Here is an 18,592-nt window from a genome sequence, read left to right as displayed (position 1 = left end):
CAGTAAAATATAATAGCCCCTGGCTTGACAGCTAGAATTGAGTTGGAAACCAGAAGGTTCCTGGCTGAGTTTTTTAAGTCTGAAAACCTCCAAACCACCTTGGCCAGTACTAGTATTATAGAAACATACTATAAAACATGAGGGCTGGGGCCTCTCTGCAGTTTCAAGAATCTGCTGTTATTTCTCAGCACATCAAATCTATGGTGAATACTAGTGTGTAGACTGTGTAGTCTAGTTCAGACTGCAACGTGAGCATGAACGGTAGAAGAGTAAGTTCAGGAAAGAGAAGGAAACTGTGAAGACAAAGCCGAGAGGAGAGAGTTGCTTGGGTAACCACAAAGGCACATTTTAGACACTCAAAGAACACTGCCTCCTTTTTGCTCCTCTTCTGTGTATCTTCCCCACAAAAAGATCGTCAGCGGGGGCAGGGGAGATAAAAGGAGGAGGAAAGCCTAGACTTGAAAAACAAACTGATAGAAAATGATCATCTGTATCTCCTGGAACTTGTCAATGTTTTGGGGGTATGCATCCCAGCTTAAACACATTCTACCAAAACATTTCCCTCGGCTCTGCAACTTTTAATAACGCTGTATTATCCAAAAGATTTTACTGTGTGTGGCCTGTTTGCTGCTGTCCAGAATCCCCTAAGAACAGGATAGGAAAGCTTAGGGGATACTTTTCCTCCATTCTGTTTCCACAGTGTTACTCATTTGCTTCCATTTAAAGTATATCTAAAACCCCTTATTTTCTTTTTAGGTAACAGTATGACTAAATATACTGAGAAGCTCGAAGAGATTAAGAAAAGTAAGTAACACTCTTGATGGTTTGGGAGAGTGGAAGTCTATAGTTGTTCTATAAATTGGTTCTTAACTAACAATTGTGTTCCACAGGTGACAGGCACAGAGAGCTATGGATGGTCCGATAAGCCTAGCAGGTGCCTCAAGGGCTGTGGGAGATCCTGGGTGCTGTACTGGGCTGCTTCTCAGATTGTGGCCTGTAGGCCTAAATTCTGCCCTATTTCCATCCCATAGGAGACATTAGTGTTGGCCTGCAGAGTCAGATCTGGTGGAATGAGCTCTGCTTAAGCTTCTAGTGTCATTGTACTGCAGTCTTCATGCCCTTCTTCAAGATATTTCATCTTTTCTGTCTTATTTTGTCTCTATTTGAGATAGGGGGTAATAATATCTTCCTTCAGAACATTCTTGTGTGTATAAATGAGAGTATTCATGGAAGACAGGGACGTGAGAACTTAGTGTTATGCATTATCAATTCATTGCAGTCTGTTTTCTTTTAATTAAAAATCATATTTCATCTACATCCTTTTAAAAAACTTATCTGCAAAGATATGTTACCAGTCATTGAGTGCATTGCCCTTGCACAAAATCATAATTTTTCAGTCTGCATCCAAAACTGATGTAAAGTGTATACTTCAAGGCCAGAATTAAGGAAGAAGTAGAAACATCTATTTTCTAAGATGGATTTGCTCATATCTTGAATAAGAGAACCCAGTGCTAGGGGATATTTAGTTAATGGTGGTAAAGAGGTACTCTGATTAATCATAGTTCAGGACTTGGCTCTGGTAATGTACATCTTCTTGGAAGATAAAATTGCACATCCAGAATACATCAGAACATTTTCTTCTTTTACACAGCAGACCTTTTATTTGAAATCAAAGTTCCATTTGAATTGCTGCAATATTGGGAAACCCCAACCAATAGATGTGGACTCAGGAGCTGCTTTATGCTGTGTTTTCATTTGCCATGTTCAGCTATAAGGGCTAATGCTACAAACTTCTTAAAAATATGTAATGCCACAGTATCCTTCTCTTTTCTTCCTGAACATTTTATATTACATAAGTATATGTATTTTAAATATCTATATAAAATATATACTTTTAAACTCTGGAGAAAGATCGCATTTACTCACCTACACTTCATTGTTGCCATCCTTGACTCATCCAAGACAGGCAGAATCCAGCTGGCCTGCTTCTTTTTGGGTTTGTCGTCTCTGTCACCTCTCATCCATTTGCAGCTGAGTGTGAGTTCACATGTCCTCACTAGAAATTTGTCCCATAAAAATGTCCCACTCTGCCCAGGTTGCCATAACCTCACTTAAAACATTTCTTCAAAGTACGATGTGGTTTCTTTAATATCTAAACCTTACGTGGAGGTGATCTCCCAGAACAATACCCTTGGAACAGAACCTTGAAAAATGCTTGCTTCACTTTCCCTCTGTAGGAGTGGAGGGCTTCCTTTTAGTAGAGCAGGAGATTCCTGTTACCCCATTTCACACACTTTGTGCTGATTCCCTGACAGAATTGCTTTAGATTCTGGTTTGGCATCTACATTTTAGAAGATATTTCCTTCTCTTTCCCCATTTTCTGTTGTAAGTATTATTTGGGGTTGAAAGGGAGGAGAATATTCCCTTGTTTCTTGATACCCTAGACCCATCACTTTACTCAGATTACCTTAGATGCCATTTCTTTCTGTGAAACCACAAACCTTGTTCTGTTACTTCCTTTGATTTGTCTTCCACTGTGAACCCAACTTCCCTTTGCTAATAATGCATTTCAACAGAACCCTGAAAATGCAGAAATCCTTTGTAATCTGAATATTCTTTCAACTCTACCTGGGGAAAATAGACACTCTATGTCTATTGACAATTTACAAAGCCCATTCTTGGTTTCTGGTGGTTAGATGACACTAGTTGGACCCAGTGTGAAACATCCTAGATAGTCAGGTCTCTGTCCTTCCAGTAACTCGAGAGAGACAGACTTAGAACCTAGACTTACTGGAGAAGCACACCTTGATAACATATCTGAAACTAGGATTGTCTTCAACACAGAGTTTGGGAGAAGACACATAGCAGAAGCTCCATTCTTAAAGCTCTGTTCGCTCTTGCGAGGACAGACTGACAGAGCCTTCCAAGTCATCCTTTTTATAAAAATTTAAACTTACTGTAGAACATCTAGTTTGATCTTTTATCTCTGAGTAATCATGTCAAAAAGTCCTACTGACGGCTGTCCTTCTAAACCAGAACCAGGTACGTGGAGTTCAGGTTCAAATATGTAGGGGGCTGCTAGTGCTTGTGCAGAAGACAGTAGAAATCCCAATCTTTAGAATAAAGCAGTCTTTTTTTTGTTTGTTTAAATTAATCTTTGTTTAGTTAAAGGAGATTTTAAAGTATACATTTTATGCTTAGAAGCATTTTAAACCTTGTAACCATACCAAAAGAATATCAGTGGATAAATGTCACAGTGCAAACTACTTGAAAGCTGTTGGCTGTTTCCATTTGCTGATTTATTGTTGTTTTGATTTGCATAAACGACTTTTGGTGGGCAAGTTGGTGGCAATCAAAAGGAACACTGTAGTTATTTGGTTGTACTTTGTAAAGCCTCAGCTCGGCCTATTTGGGTCTGCATCCCGGCAGGTTTTAGAAGTTCCACTGCATATAGGTTTGTTACCTTGTTGTATCCAGAAGCAGCATCTCTAAGCATTTCCTAGAAGTAATGGTCTGTTATTAGCCAAATTGCTCTCTTTAAGACATTTTAGAACAGAGAAGTTTAATTCCCTATTTTTAAAAAGCCTTGATATATTTACAGAAGGCTAGTTTTTAAAGTAGTATCATTTCCCGACTCTGAGTCTTAAGGTCTGTGCTGGTTTTTGGAAAATTCATGAAAGTGATTAGTTACACCAGGTAAATAATCTTAAATACTTTTAATCCTTTCCTTTGTTGCTAGGAGTCTTGGTTTATGAGACATTTATGCTGTGAAGGCCATAGCAATTAACCAGCTAACCTTTAATAATTCTGAAATAATGAGGCAGCAGTTAAAGAGTCATGGGTACCAATATAAAAACCTAGGTGAGGAGGAAAGCATGAGGGCGGGCAGAGTTCAACACTGAAAACCATTCAGAATTTGACTGTCATCTTCAAAACAGTTTAAGGAAGCTAACCTTTAACACGTATCTATGGAACAGATAATAGATAAAGTGCAACTGGCTTAGTTTTTAATAACTGTTTAATGTGATGGGAAGAATTATGAACACAAGTGCAGAAGTACCTATATGTGAGTTATAGCTCAGAATTGTCAAGACAGCACTGAATAAATATTGATGTTTTAAGTTTTTTTTTTGTTTTTTTTTTTGTGACACAGTTTCACTCTCACCCAGGCTGGAATGTGGTAGTGCAATCTTGGCTCACTGCAATCTCCACCTCCCAGGTTCAATTGATTCTCATGCCTCAGCCTCTGGAGTAGTTGGGATTACAGGTGTGCACCACCATGCCCAACTAATTTTTGTATTATTAGTTGGGATTTGTATTATTAGTTGTATTTTGTATTATTAGTTGTATTATTAATTGGAGTGTTGGGATTACAGGCATGAGCCACCAAACCTGGCCTAAGTTGGTTTTATTTTATTTTTTTAAATGGTGGGGCCGGACGCTTTGGCTCACGCCTGTAATCCCAGCACTTTGGGAGGTTGAGGTGGGTGGATCACTTGAGGCCAGGAGCTCGAAACCAGCCTGGCCAACATGGTGAAACCCCGTCTCTACTAAAATACACAAATTAGCCAGGCCTGGTGGTGGGCAACTGTAATCCCAGCTACTCGGGAGGCTGAAGCAGGAGAATCCCTCGAACCTGAGAGGCGGAGGTGGCAGAGAGCCGAGATCACACCACTGCACTCCAGCCTGGGCGACAGAGAAATAAAAATAAATAAAATAAAATGGTAGTAAACAACAAAAACAAGAACACATAACACCTACCATCGTAATGGTTTTTAAGTGTACAGGTCAGTGGCATTAAGTATTTTCATACTGTTGTACAACAGAACTGCAGAACTTTTTCATCTTGCGAAACTAAGTAGGTTAATTTTTATTGGAGTGAAGTTGGAGAGAAGCTGAGAGATGATCAGAACCAATCACAGCTGTGTGCCCAGCATACACTTAGAAATGTTGTCCTGTGGCTTCAGCATAGTGTGTAATGGCAGGAATAATATTGCTTTCTTTTTAAGCTGGAGTCAGAATAGTGGGGCATGAACGTCTCACCAGCTGTTTGAGCTGGGGCAGCTCAGCCTCTCTGAGTCTCTGTCCTCATTTGTAAAACACGGACATTTCTTCCCTGCTTTACTCTGAAAAGGATTTGAGGCGGCTTACAAAAATGCGTGGAGTACAATGTGGTCGAAGTAGAGACAGCTTAGTTAAAGGAAAATGGTAGACTAATAAAATAAAGGCAAGGGGTAGTCACTAGACCAAAGGTAGCTTATAAATTCAACTTTAAGCTTCCTAATGACAAAGCAAAGGGAAACAAACTGAACAGATGATACTACTACCTGCCACACCTAATTTTGATGATATCATGAGGCTCAAATGAGATAATAGATGTAAAAGCATATAAATAACTTGAAAGACCACGTCACTTGACAACTAGAAAGAATAGCTCTAAAAAAGCAAAATAGATAAATACTTGTCTTACCATATTTTTCAGATTATAGATACAAAAAAGATGAGCTTTTCAAGAGACTAAAAGTTACAACTTTTGCCCAGCTGGTAAGTTTCTTGATTTTTCCACTGGAGTAAAGTCTGTCTAATTTGTGCCACTTTATGTATTTCTAAATTCAACTCTAGGGAAAGTTTGCAGAGGAGTTTCTTCTGATTCTTTGTATGTCGTTCAGCTATGGGAAGATTAATTGGTATGTGGTGTGTGTGTTCACATGAAGATGGTGAGAAATGTTTCTCTCTTCTTTGATAAGAATTCTATAAAGTAAATGTTTGCCCTACTTTTAATTCATTAAACTTGTGGTTAGGGGTTTTTTTCCTTATACATTTAACTTAATATTTAGAATCTAAAATTCTGGATCCTGGATTGTTTCAACGTTTTTCTCTGGAAACCAAGTGATTTCCCCTTTTCTTGGACTGATCTTTTCCAAATCATCCTGCCAGAGCTGTTTTGTTATTTTGGGCAAGTCACTTTCTTCTTTTATTTGAAAATTATGGAGAAGGTGTCTTTCCAGTTCCAAGAGTTCCACTGGCATAACTCAAGTTGAATCTTGGGTCTTGTGAGCTAAGTTGTGAAAAGTGCTTTAAAAATGAATACTGTATAGAAGTATAAAACACTGTAATCAGTGTATTTGTTATTACATTTACTTCTTCATTGCGTGGATAATTGCTGATACCATTCTATGTTATGCTAGGTCAGTATTGCATTTTCAAGAAATAATGTGTAGTGCTTGGACCACGATATATACAGATGTGGTTTTAAACTCTTATTCATGTTTCTTGTCCTAAATTTTCCTCTTAGCATTCTAAGTTTATGTAGTGTTCTAAGTGTGCTTTTCTTCTGAAATGATCATCTGCAGTATATTACCAACACAAAAGGAAGGAGGCCTGAGATTCAGCGTTCAGTTGAGGACACTGACAGCTTCTTAAAACAACAGATCTTTGATGTTTGTTGTTCCCTCGTCTTTTGTAAAAGACAAAATTGCGTCTGTTTAAAAACAAACAAACATCCACACATTTCATTCTTTTTTCTATCAGATCATCCAAGTTGCTTCCCTCTCTGATCAAACACTGGAAGTGACAGCTGAGGAGATTCAAAGGCTGGAAGGTAATGAGAATTGAGGGTGTGGGGAAAATAACAGGCTGACCATTTGACTGAAACACTCACCCTGTACACATTTGCTGTCTGTTCCCAGGGACTGGGACTTTGATGTATCTATTTGTAATTAGATTGTTACTCTCAGGGAAATGCTACCTGATACTTTAGTTGTTAATTCTTATTTTAAAAAGCCATCTGGTTTTCTGACTCTAACACTTACAGTTTTAAATGTTTTAGATGTGTTTAATATACTAATTACTTTTTTCAACAAATATTTTTAGCATTCTTTGTACCTACACATTAAGTACTATGAGACTGCAGAGGTGAACAAAACACAGCTCTGCTTACATGAAATTGACAGTCACATGTGTGCATGTGCACACATGTATGTGTGTTGGGTGGGCTGAATGATAACAGTACCACAAAATTACTAAGGTGGCAGAATTTTAAAATGGAGGAATGGAAGGAAACCATCGTTTGTTGGCTGTATATTGCAAGGTGAATTCACATGAATTTTCTTACTTAAGCTTCTTAAAAACTCTGGAAGGAAGGTACACTTTACAGATGAGAGGCCCAAGCTGCAGAGGTTAAGCTGCCTCCTCAAAGTGATACAGCTAATAAGGAAGGGACCTGAGTTACAAATCTAAGTGTGCCCAGTAGCATCCAGTGTCTTCTTGCTGCCTTCATTGTACCCTTAAGGGACTGAAAAGTACCTTCAGGAAAGATGCAGGATGTTGTGGGAGAGTTCCAAGGAAGGAAAGACACTTCCAGTTAGAAGACCAAGGTAGGCGGCCAGGCACGGTGCCTCACGCCCAGTGCCTCACCCCCATAATCCCAGCACTTTGGGAGGCCAAGGCGGGCAGATCACGAGGTCAGGAGTTCAAGACCAGCCTGTCCAACATGGTGAAACCCTGTCTCTACTAAAAAAAATAGAAAAATTAGCCAGGCACGGTGGTGTGCACCTGTAATCCCAGCTACTCAGGAGGCTGAGGCAGGAGAATTGCTTGAACCCAGGAGGCGGAGGTTGCAGTGAGCTGAGACTACGCCATTGCACTCCAGCCTGGGCAACACAGCAAGACTCTGTCTCAAAAAAAAAAAAAAGAAGACCGAGGTAGGCTTCCTCAAGGCACTGGAACTGGGCCTTGAAGTGGGGTAGAATCTCAACAGGTACAAGTTAAAGATGAGGCTGTTGCAGGCTGAGGAGCAGCCTGTGAAAGGCATGGAGAGGACAGCACACCAGGCATGTTTGGGGAATCGAGTCATCCAGTCTGGCTGTGGTCTAAGGGACGAGTAGGCGCTGGGTAGGAGATAAGGCTAGAAAGACAGGTAGGCTCCATTTCTCCTTTCTTAAATACCAAGTTGAAAATAAAACCTCCTAGTTGTACTCTCATGAAAAGAATACAGAGAGTTAAGGTCTTTATTTTATCCTGAAGTACCCAGCAATCAGTGTGTGGCTGTTTATTGAAGAGGAATGTGTTTGTTAAGGTTGATGTAGGTCAGGAATTTGACTTCTGATTTCAAGACAAGTTTCTCAGGAAGTCTGAACACTGGGTTTGTGCAACTCAACTGTCATTTCCCTGGACTGTTTTTTGTTAGGGAGGATAAAGAGAATCTGAAAACGACAGGAATTTATCTTTGACAGATGCCTCTCACAAAGCAGAGAAATAAGAGCTCCTTGTAGCAGAGATAATTTGAGTCTCCTCATACAAGTACTCCAATTTTAACTGGGTTATATAAGCACCTAGATTTGGTCCTTTAATTCATTGTTGAGATTGCAGCACCAGAACATATGGGCACATGCAATTTTCTCTTCTGAGATAAATTTGCACAGCAAAGTAGGCTCTTGTAAAGTAGGACACCATAATGTGTGAGTAATATTAGTGTTTTTCTAGTGCTCTACACAGATAATAACTCACTCAGGAGTGCCTGGGGAACAGATTGTATCTGTATGCATATTGGCTATCTTTGAAGGGATAAATAAAAATCTCCTTTTATAATGTTTATCGCTTTTTCCTAACTTAAAAGTGTATTTCTAGTAAGTTAGGAAACCGTAAAAAGTATATAAAGAAGAAAAATAACTAATAATCACTGTCTATGTTTTGGTCCGCTTTCCTCCTCTCTAACCCCTCACCCCAATTAAATCTATATTCTTTGTATATAATTTTGTATTGTGCTGTTTTCAATTATCGCTTTTTCATTCATACTTTCCCATGTCACTAAATAGGCTTCAAAAGCATGACTGTAAAGATTGTGTTGTCATCTAATATCTGTCCTTTGGATATACCATAATTTAATTATTCTCTTGTTGGGCATTACAGTTTTTTCTGATTTTTCACCTTTATAAAATAATGCTGCAATGTATATATGTAAATGTTTGTATGATTCTGATTATTCCCTGAAGATAAATTGCTGCAGAGGGTCAAAGGGTGGAACCATTTTAGACACCCAGTGCTGATTGCCACATTCTCTCCAGCATGGTTCTACCTGTTTGCATTCCCACCAAGAGTGAATGAGAAGACCTGTTTTTCCTCATCCTAGCCAAAGCTGAATAATTATCATTTCTGTAAATATTTTCCAGTTCAATAGATGAAAAATAGTATCTAACAGTTTTTTATTTATTTGATAGTAAGATTATGCTCTGTGTGTGTGTTTACTGGTCATAAATACATATTTCTTCTTTTAAGGAGTTTATGTGCTCTTTTTCCTTTCTTTCTAATAGGATGTTCATCTTTTTCTTATTGGTTTGTGAGAGTTCTGAATAATTATGATATCTTTGTACAACGGAGAACAATATTAACTTGACAATGGATGAGAAAAAATCTTGATTAGTTGGAACAATTTCCAGGCTATATTAAGTAAAAATAAAACAACAATAAAACAAAAACCCAAAGTATAAAATAATATGAATAGAATTCTCCTGGATTTGTAAAAGGGGGAAGAAGTAAAATATATGCAAGCACATGTAAATGTTTTATTTCTGGAATGAGACATAAATACGTGAAAGTGTTTAATATACTGATACTTCCCTTGGGGAAGGAGGCAGGAGGGCCTGCATGTCTTCGGTGGGGGAAAGACTTCCTTTCCATGTTAACGATTTAATCTTACTTGCATTTTTACCTCGTGCACATGATCCTATTGCTTTTTTACTCTTTTCACATTATATTAAAGAGCTAATTTTTTAAATCTATAAATTAAGTATATTAACCTTCTTAATTCATATGTGTTACAGATCTTTTTCCTAATTTGTTATTCACCTTTTAATTTTTTTGTGTTGGTTTTTGATATATATGAGGTTGAATTTTTACGTAATCAAATCTATTAGCCTGTACTATTGTTTTCTTTTATTGCTTTAGACTCATAAAATTCAGTGTTGGTAAATTATTTACCTACATTTTGTAATAATCTATTGGCTTGTTTGTTTGCATTTAAACCATCTGTTATGTATTTTGATATATGACACGAGGTGATTATCTGAATTAGATTTTTCCAGATAGTTGAGAAATATTCCTAGCACCATATACTCAGTAGTTCTCCCTTTACCCACTGATTTGTGATATGGATGTATTGACTTTTTATTTATATTCTTTTCCATGTTTTCTATTATATTCCATTGTTCTGGTTGTAGTGCTGTACTATTTTGATCATTTACCTTTTTAACATATGTTACTATTTGATAAGGCAGGTCTCCAAATCACCCCTAATTATGTATGTATATACATATATTTTCCTATTTCCTCATACATATCAAAAACCAACACATCAAAAACCCATGGGTATATATTGCTTCCAGAATATTTAAGTCTTGTGAAACTGAATAGGAAAAAAGGATCTGAGTGTGTGTGTGTGTGTGTGTGTGTGTGTGTGTGTGTGTGTGTGTTTACTCTTGTTATTTTTTAAATCCTTTTAAGTTTTAAAAAAATCCCTCTGGGATTAGTATTAAGAACAAAAGTTAAATTTGGGAGGGATTAACATTTTAGTTTTACTTGCCCAATCAGGAACATGCAGAGTGTGTCACTCTCTTCATTGAGGTCTTCTTTAAGGCCTCTAAGTAAAATTTTTGTAAGTCCTATAAAGGATTTATACATTTTTATAGGTTATTTACATTCAGTTTAGGATCATTTCTTGGAGAGTATATATATATATTTTTTATATACTTTTTTTTATTATACTTTAAGTTCTAGGGTACATGTGCACAATGTGCACGTTTGTTACATATGTATATATGTGCCATGTTGGTGTGCTGCACCTATTAACCTGTCATTTACATTAGGTATATCTCCTAATGCTTTCCCTCCCCCGTCCCCCCACCGGAGAGTATATTTTATAGCTGCAGTTGTTACTGTATATGAGATTTTTTTTCCTGTTATTTTTTAATTGGTGTATAGGACAAATATTTTAGCATTTCTTTTATCTAACCACATATTTATTGCAGTTATTCTCATTCTCTTAAAATTTCTAGGTACGTTATCATATCATATGCAAAATAAATTTAATATCCTCTTTAATAATTAGACTTGTTATTTTTATTTTTATTTATTTATTTTTTTGAGATGGAGTCCTGCTCTGTTGCCCAGGCTGCAGTGCAGTGGCACGATCTCAGCTCACTGCAACCTCCACCTCCCAGGTTCAAGTGATTCTCCTGCCTCAGCCTCCTGAGTAGCTGGGATTACAGGTGCCTGCCAGCACACCTGGCTAATTTTTATATTTTTAGTAGAGATGGGGTTTCGCTATGTTGGCCAGGCTGGTCTCGAACTCCTGACCTCAAGTGATCCACCCGCCTCAGCCTCCCAAAGTGCTGGGATTACAGGTGTGAGCCACCATGCCCGCCCTGTTATTATTATTTTTAAAAAAACTTTATTGTATTGGTTAGAACAGCAAATTCTCAAACGTTTTGTTCTCTTCCTCCACTCTATTAAAAATTATTGAAGATCCCAAAGAGCTTTGGTTTATGTGCTTTATGTCTATTAATATTTAGTGTATTAAAAATTTAAACTGGGAACTGAAACAGTATTTATTTATTATTTCACTTAAAAATAACCATACTAAACCCATTACAAACATACATAACATGTTTTTATGAAAAATAGCATTATTTCCAAAACAAAATTTTGCTGAGAACGTCGTTGTTTTACATATTTTGTAAATCTCTTTAGTGTCTGGTTTAATGAAAGGATTGCTGATTTTCCTCTCTGCTTCTGCGGTGTCTGTCGTGATGTGCTGTTTGTGTTAAAGTGTGTGAAGAAAATCCAGCTCACACAAACCTGTAGGTGGAAAAGGGAGAAATATTTCAATAGTCCTTTCAGATAAAACTTGACAACTGCTAGTTTCTTAAGGATTAGCTGTAATGTAGAATCTGAAATCATATCAATGAATCTTTCATACTGTTAGATTAAAATCAGGCACTTGCAGTGTAACTGTCTTATACTTTGAATCTTTTACCCATGCATGATTGTATAACATCATGCACTGGCCATTTAGAGAATATTGGTTCACTGAGTTATGAAGATCTTCCCAAAGGTTAATACATTTTATTATACAACTGTCAAAAAAATCACATATATTATTCTCACTATCTATCTTACCAAAAAGGTCTGTAAGCATGGGGAAGCAGCTCCCCATACTTCGGTTCCTGATGGCAAATATAGTTTCCAAAATTCTGAGTTTGGCTTAAAATATAATCATTGGCAACAATGCCATCAGTAGTGTTCCCTGAAATAACAAACAGGCTTATTTAGTTCACTTTTGAGAAAATGTCTGCCAAATATACAAGTCTAACTAACCATAGTTTTTCTGTCAGTTTTTCTTCCAAGCAAAAATGGTGTGCATAGCAAAAGTTACTGGTTCAGCCTGCAACTCAGCAATCACACTAATACTTTTCCTTGAGATAACCCTGGTAATTTGGTATGTAGCAAACGTGATGTATGTGGACTCCTCACCTCATCACACAGAACATTAAAAAAAGCATGTACTTACTTCAAGGTGAGATGTAATAAGAATAGTAAGTGTTACTGCTTTAACAGGGACCTTCTTGTAGTGTGACTGCCATACTTATTTACTGTGAATGCATGCGTGATGGTGAATAATACAATGATTGCTAATAAAGCTTGGTGCCACAGCCCTGATTCTTACTAAGGTGCTAGCAGCTTTATCCACCATTTCTTTTGTACCATCAGTGCAAATATAAACACAGTAAAAAAGACAAGTAACATCTCATGAAAATAGTTTTTACCTTGCAGATCCCCTGAAAGGGCCTTGGGGATGTTTGGGGTCCACTACACTTTGGGAACTTGTACGTTAGCACTTCCACGACAATTTAATAATGATGATAAGATTTCCTTTTCTTGACTTAATGTCAGTGGAACTAATAAGTAAATACAAATCCTGAGGTTCAATCTAATTATTTCTTCATTTGTAAATATTAGACAATGATTCTGCAGCTTCAGACCCTGATGCTGAAACCACTGCCAGGACCAATGGGAAAGGAAATCCAGGTGAGCAGTCGCCGAGCCCTGAGCAGTTCATAAACAACGCAGGAGCAGGGGACTCCAGCCGCTCAACTCTTCAGAGGTACTCGAAGCTGATTCATATTTTCACTGCATTTTGCCTTTATATTAATCTAGACGCCAATTTCAGGGATCTTTTTTTTTTCTTGCCTTAGAAACAGAACTGGCAGGAGTAAAGTCTCACATTTTAATCCCAGCCTTCTACTTTATCTTTATATAAATGCTACCTCCTGAATCTTTTTCACTGCATTCTTACTGAGTTAATGTGAGAATATATTAATAGGAGAGTTTAATTTTCATTTCTCGTTCCATTCTTCTCCCTCCTACATATAAGTTTGTTATGAGGAATTAGCTTTACAAATACTATCTTTTGATTCAGAGAGTATGATTTTTCCCCCTTTTCCGACTGCTGAAGCTTATAATACCCTGTCCGGAAGTGACAGTGCCACACATAGTGCTCTGATACTGAGTAGGTGCAAAGGAAAAAGCAGTACTTGGTGTTTATTCTAAAGCTGAATGTGGCTGTTCCTTCTTTTTATTTTATTTTTCTGCTCCTTCTTCTAAGGCATGGGCCTCCTTATTCCAAGGATTACATGGACTTTAGTCCGTGTAGTACTTTCTAACTAATATTAACTGTTGATTATAGGGCAGTACTGATTTTCAGCAGATGTCCATCCCTTTGACTGATAAAATAGTTCTGGAGAAATTAGTTCTACCAGAGAAAGAATTGCTATCATCATCCCACCATTATTATTATTCTTTTAGCTTTATATTATTATAGTTACTTTTGCGAGAGGACTCTAAAATTGCACTCAAGAAGAGATAGGCCAACAGGACTTCCACTGAGGATGCAGTTTCTTATCAAACAGATGTTCTTCTCCTTTGGTTCAACAAAATATGCACTATATAGCATAGAGTTATAGTGTTTATTGGATTTAAATGCAGAATTTGATTTGCTGTTATGGGAAAGGAGCTATGCTACATACTAATCTGTGATTTAGCATATGAGTCTTAATATTTCCTAAGAAAGTAACCATCTTCTTATTCCAGTAAGGATATTTCACTGCTTGCCATTTTGTTCATAACACCTAGTCTTGTTATTACTTTGATTCATGTTTTTACCACATTTTCCCTATAATATTAAGATGGTGACCAGTTTCAGTGATTGAATGACCTTAGAATTAGAACTGTTAGTGGTAGTGGTTAGCTTCCTCATTTTAATCCCAGCTCTTCCTCTGCCTCATTCTATGAATGCCACCAAATCTAAAGCCTCGTCAACCTCAATGTTGTAACCTATAAAACTGGAGTAAGTACAGAGAGCTATGTAAGTATTAAGACTCAATACCATAGCAGATATGTCACTGACTACGTATATGAAATATATAAAGCATTATTGTTACTTTATATTACTTACACGTAGAAAGAAATGTCTTTCCTTTTTCCTGTCCTACCAACCATATTCTTCCCTCTTTCGCTCTACTGGATTCACAGTTCCCCTCTTTCTCCCTCTGATGCTGCCCTTGTGGCTAGAGGCAGCATGTGCCCTTCAGTCCCTACCCCCTCAGCCATGTAATGCACTGACACGCATTGTCTGAAGGTGAGTGTGGACATGTGGGTCTCCTCTGTGGGGTCCAGTGTAGTAGAAGAGAAAATCCACAGGATCCTGCATTCAGAGGCAGAACTGAGACACCACGTCCATTTTCCTTTGCCTTTGAAGCGTCCTTTGAAAAGACATTGAGCACTCACCTCACTATTCTGAAGAGACACGTTCGACCTTTAAGCCACCAACCTCTGACTAGTTTCTGCTGACCTACTTTTTCACTTGCAGTGTCATCAGTGGTGTTGGGGAACTGGATCTAGACAAAGGGCCAGTGAAGAAAGCAGAGCCCCATACCAAAGACAAACCTTATCCTGACTGCCCCTTCCTGCTGCTAGATGTGCGTGATAGAGATTCTTACCAGCAGTGCCACATTGTTGGAGGTAAGAGAGAGAAGGCTTTAAAGTGCCTCACTCTCAAGAACAGAGAGCCTGCTCTTGAGTCTAGGCAGGCTGGAACCACAGCCCATGGTAGACAGTTGAGGAAACCGTATGTTAGCTGGATCCATTATGGAATCCTATAGGGTTGGCTCCACCATAAAATACTCTTGAGAGGCTGCTGATTTTCACAGATGGCTGTCAGAAGCAGGGAAGTGAAGCTTCATGCTTTGTTCATAGTGCTCTTTCTTTTCTTTCACAGAAGTGTTTAGGTTTATGGCTTGTTGATTTTTTTTTTTGTTTTTTTTTTGTTAATACCTTGCTCTGTTGCCAAGACTGAAGTGTAGTGGCGCGATCACAGCTCACTGCAGCCTTGCCTTCCTGGGCTCAAGTGATCCTCCTACCTCAGCCTCTCGAGTACCTGGGACTACAGGCATATGCCACAACACCCGGCTAATGTTTTTGTATTTTTTATAGAGATGAGGCCTCACCATGTTGCCCGGGCTGGTCTCAAACTCCTGGACTCAAGCGGTCCACCCACCTTGGCCTCCCAAAGTGCTGGGATTATAGGTGTTAGCCACCATGCCCAGCAGCTCATGGATTTTGAAGATGTATTTAACTCTTAGATTTTAAACCAGCTGGGAATTGAGGCCAAGTTGTATTAAGAGAACAACAGACTTCCTAAACTTTTTCTTCTCTTTGCAGCTTACAGTTACCCAATTGCAACTCTGTCTAGAACAATGAACCCTTATTCAAATGATATTCTTGAATATGTATCCTTTGTTGCATTTTAAGGAATTGGGTGGTATGAGGATTGTAAGAATCAAAGTTATCATGAACCACGCTCCTGGTAAGAATGCTGTGAAGGACCTTTGATATTATTTGGCTGAGCATATTTTAGAATTTGGATTCCTAGCTATTGCCAAGAATCCTGACTCTTTAGGCGGATGCTTTCAAACCGTCTTGCCCTGGGCCAAAAAACACTAGGTTAAGAGTTAGGATCCATTGAGAGTTAGTCCTAAGAGAGTTTTTTTCCTCCCAGAAAACTTTCCATAGCAGAACTTAGGGTTTTTTTCTATTTTAATTTTTTCCTTTAAAATTTTAATTTTTTCATTGATAAAAATTATACAAGCAGAAAATAATTTAAATACCAAAAATTATTAAAAGGAAAATTGAAATATCTTATAATCACACAGTTGAGCAGTGGCTTCTATTACATTATTAGTATATTTTATTCCAGACTGTCTTCTGTGTGTTTGTTTTTTTTTAACAAAGTTGAAACCTTACTATATATGTAATTTAGTATCCTGCTTTTTTTCAGTTCATATCCCGATGTATTTCCCCATGCTGATGCAAGCCTTCTGTAAACCACATTTTTGATGCTGTGTAATATCTTCAGATTTACTATGATTTACTAAAATATTCCTTTATTTTGGACTTTTTAGATGGCTCCCACATTTTTACTGTCATAAATAGGCTTCAGTGGACACATTAGGCATAGAAGTTGTTCTATTTCTTCATCTGTAAAATGGGGATTGTAATATTTACTTTCCAGGGTCATAGGGATAAGAGAGCTAAAGGATGTAAAGTCCGGAACTAGTGCTGTCTTTTAGATCATGGTAACATCAGTTTGCAAAAGAAACGAATACCAGCTTGTGTGGTTTCCATGATGGGAAACCATCCAGTCCCTGCTGGTGTGACGGTAGGAATGGGCTTGTCCATCGTTCCCGGGAACTCAGACAGGTGGACCTGACCTTTTATTCCTTGGGGGTTTCTCGTAGTCTTGGGACATCAGCCCAGTGCCTTGGAACCTTAACTCATCTGACTCTTAGAAAAATGCCCATGGCAAGATCATCATTCTGTATGACGATGATGAAAGGCTGGCCAGTCAGGCGGCCACCACCATGTGCGAGCGTGGATTTGAAAACCTCTTCATGCTTTCCGGAGGTGAGCAAGGTGATACTCTGCTTGGGACTTCAAAGGCTGATCATCCTTCAGTCCCACCTGCATCCCCTTTTCTCTCTTGGTGCTCAGAATTCAGTGTTCTGGAAAGAGAAAAAGCCATGCTGGCTGAAAGGAGTCAGGAGTTATGTGAAACTTCCCTTAGCTTCATCAGCACATGTTTTTAATTCCTGATGTTGCTTCAGGGCTCTGTCACAAAGCCCTAATGCTGAAGACTCGAGCAAAAGGATTTCTTGTGGAATTCTCAGAATCCCATGTAACAACAGATATTTTCTGGTATAATTTGCTTAATGATGAAATAGTTAAGAAAGATTTCATGTCCTTGTGTTGGCCTCAACTTGATGACCAGAGATTAGAAGACATGCAGGCTTCTTTCCAGGTTTTGGCCTGGCCTTGCCATATTAATGCAGCTTTTTCTGATGATTTTCCAAACCTAGGTCTAAAAGTCTTAGCTCAGAAATTCCCGGAAGGACTGATTACTGGTTCCCTGCCAGCATCTTGCCAGCAGGCCCTTCCTCCTGGGTCTGCCCGGAAACGATCCAGCCCCAAAGGGCCACCCCTACCAGCTGAGAATAAATGGAGATTTACCCCAGAAGACTTAAAAAAGATAGAATATTATCTGGAAGAGGAGCAAGGGCCTGCAGATCATCCTAGTAAGATCTTTTGACCTTTAAAGATAATGTTTGGTTTGCAGCTTTGAATATCACCTCATCATATGAAAACCTTCATCTCTTATATTTAGATTCTTAAAATACTAGGGAGGTATGTTACAGGTGCTGGGGAGGGGAGGCAGTGGAGGTGACCCCAGATAGTGGCAAGAATTACGCATTGAAGAGAGACTTTATCAAAACATAGCGACTTTTTTTTTTTTTGAGACAGAGTCTTGCTCTGTCACCCAGGCTGGAATGCAATGGGATGATCTTGGCTCACTGCAACCTCCGTCTCCCCGGTTCAAGCGATTCTCCCACATCAGCCTCCCGAGTAGGTGGGATTACAGGTGCCCGCCACCACACCAGGCTAATTTTTTTGTATTTTAAGTAGAGACAGGGTTTCACCATGTTGGCCAGGCTGGTCTCGAACTTCTGGCCACAAGTGATCCACCCACCTCAGCCTTCCAAAGTGCTAGGATTACAGGCATGAGCCACCACGCCCAGGCAAAAATGTAGAGACTTCATCAAAAAGTATATCTCAGGTAAAATTGAGGAGTTAAGCATCAGACCTTCAGATTCCTTCTTGGAAAGTTTTCGATTCCTTCTGCAGCTTTTGCTTCTCCACTCTGAGAGCCTCTGTGGTTTGTCTTCCTACCTTAGTTTCACCGTACTGCTTTCTCTTTTCTTTCCCCAAATCACTCCTCGTCTGCATCCTCTCTACCAAGGAAGTAGTGGAGGACAGACTAGGTTTGTTGGGGATGTTGGAGAGGAAGGGAAAAAAAACCTATCTGGGTTTCCCTTCATTTCTGTCCCCCTCCCCACCTTCAGGCTGATCTCAAGGATGAGGAGTAGGCCATCGTTGGCCTAAAGTAGATACTGCATAGGACTTCATTAGCTTAAAAGTGGTTGTA

General features: G+C 38.6%; 1 protein-coding gene across 9 annotated transcripts in view; it reads left to right on the top strand.

Annotated features, from left to right (window-relative positions):
• CEP41 (centrosomal protein 41) overlaps nt 1-18,592 on the top strand; it is a 47,971-nt gene that overhangs the window by 24,019 nt on the left and 5,360 nt on the right. For 5 of the 9 annotated variants that reach the window (XM_047421053.1, NM_018718.3, XM_011516709.4 and 2 more), the window contains 8 exons: nt 757-804; nt 5,483-5,544; nt 6,532-6,601; nt 13,015-13,159; nt 14,924-15,075; nt 15,775-15,842; nt 16,902-17,016; nt 17,469-17,684. In XM_047421053.1, the coding sequence (XP_047277009.1) occupies nt 757-804; nt 5,483-5,544; nt 6,532-6,601; nt 13,015-13,159; nt 14,924-15,075; nt 15,775-15,842; nt 16,902-17,016; nt 17,469-17,684 (876 nt within the window). The remainder of the gene's footprint in view (nt 1-756; nt 805-5,482; nt 5,545-6,531; nt 6,602-13,014; nt 13,160-14,923; nt 15,076-15,774; nt 15,843-16,901; nt 17,017-17,468; nt 17,685-18,592) is intronic. The other 4 variants (XM_047421055.1, NM_001257158.2, NR_046443.2 and 1 more) reach the window with 3 other exon arrangements.

Source organism: Homo sapiens, chromosome 7 (assembly GCF_000001405.40).
Source record: "Homo sapiens chromosome 7, GRCh38.p14 Primary Assembly".
NCBI lineage: Eukaryota > Metazoa > Chordata > Mammalia > Primates > Hominidae > Homo > Homo sapiens.
The sequence above is the reverse complement of the archived record's forward strand: the minus strand, read 5'-3'. Positions and strand labels throughout refer to the sequence as shown.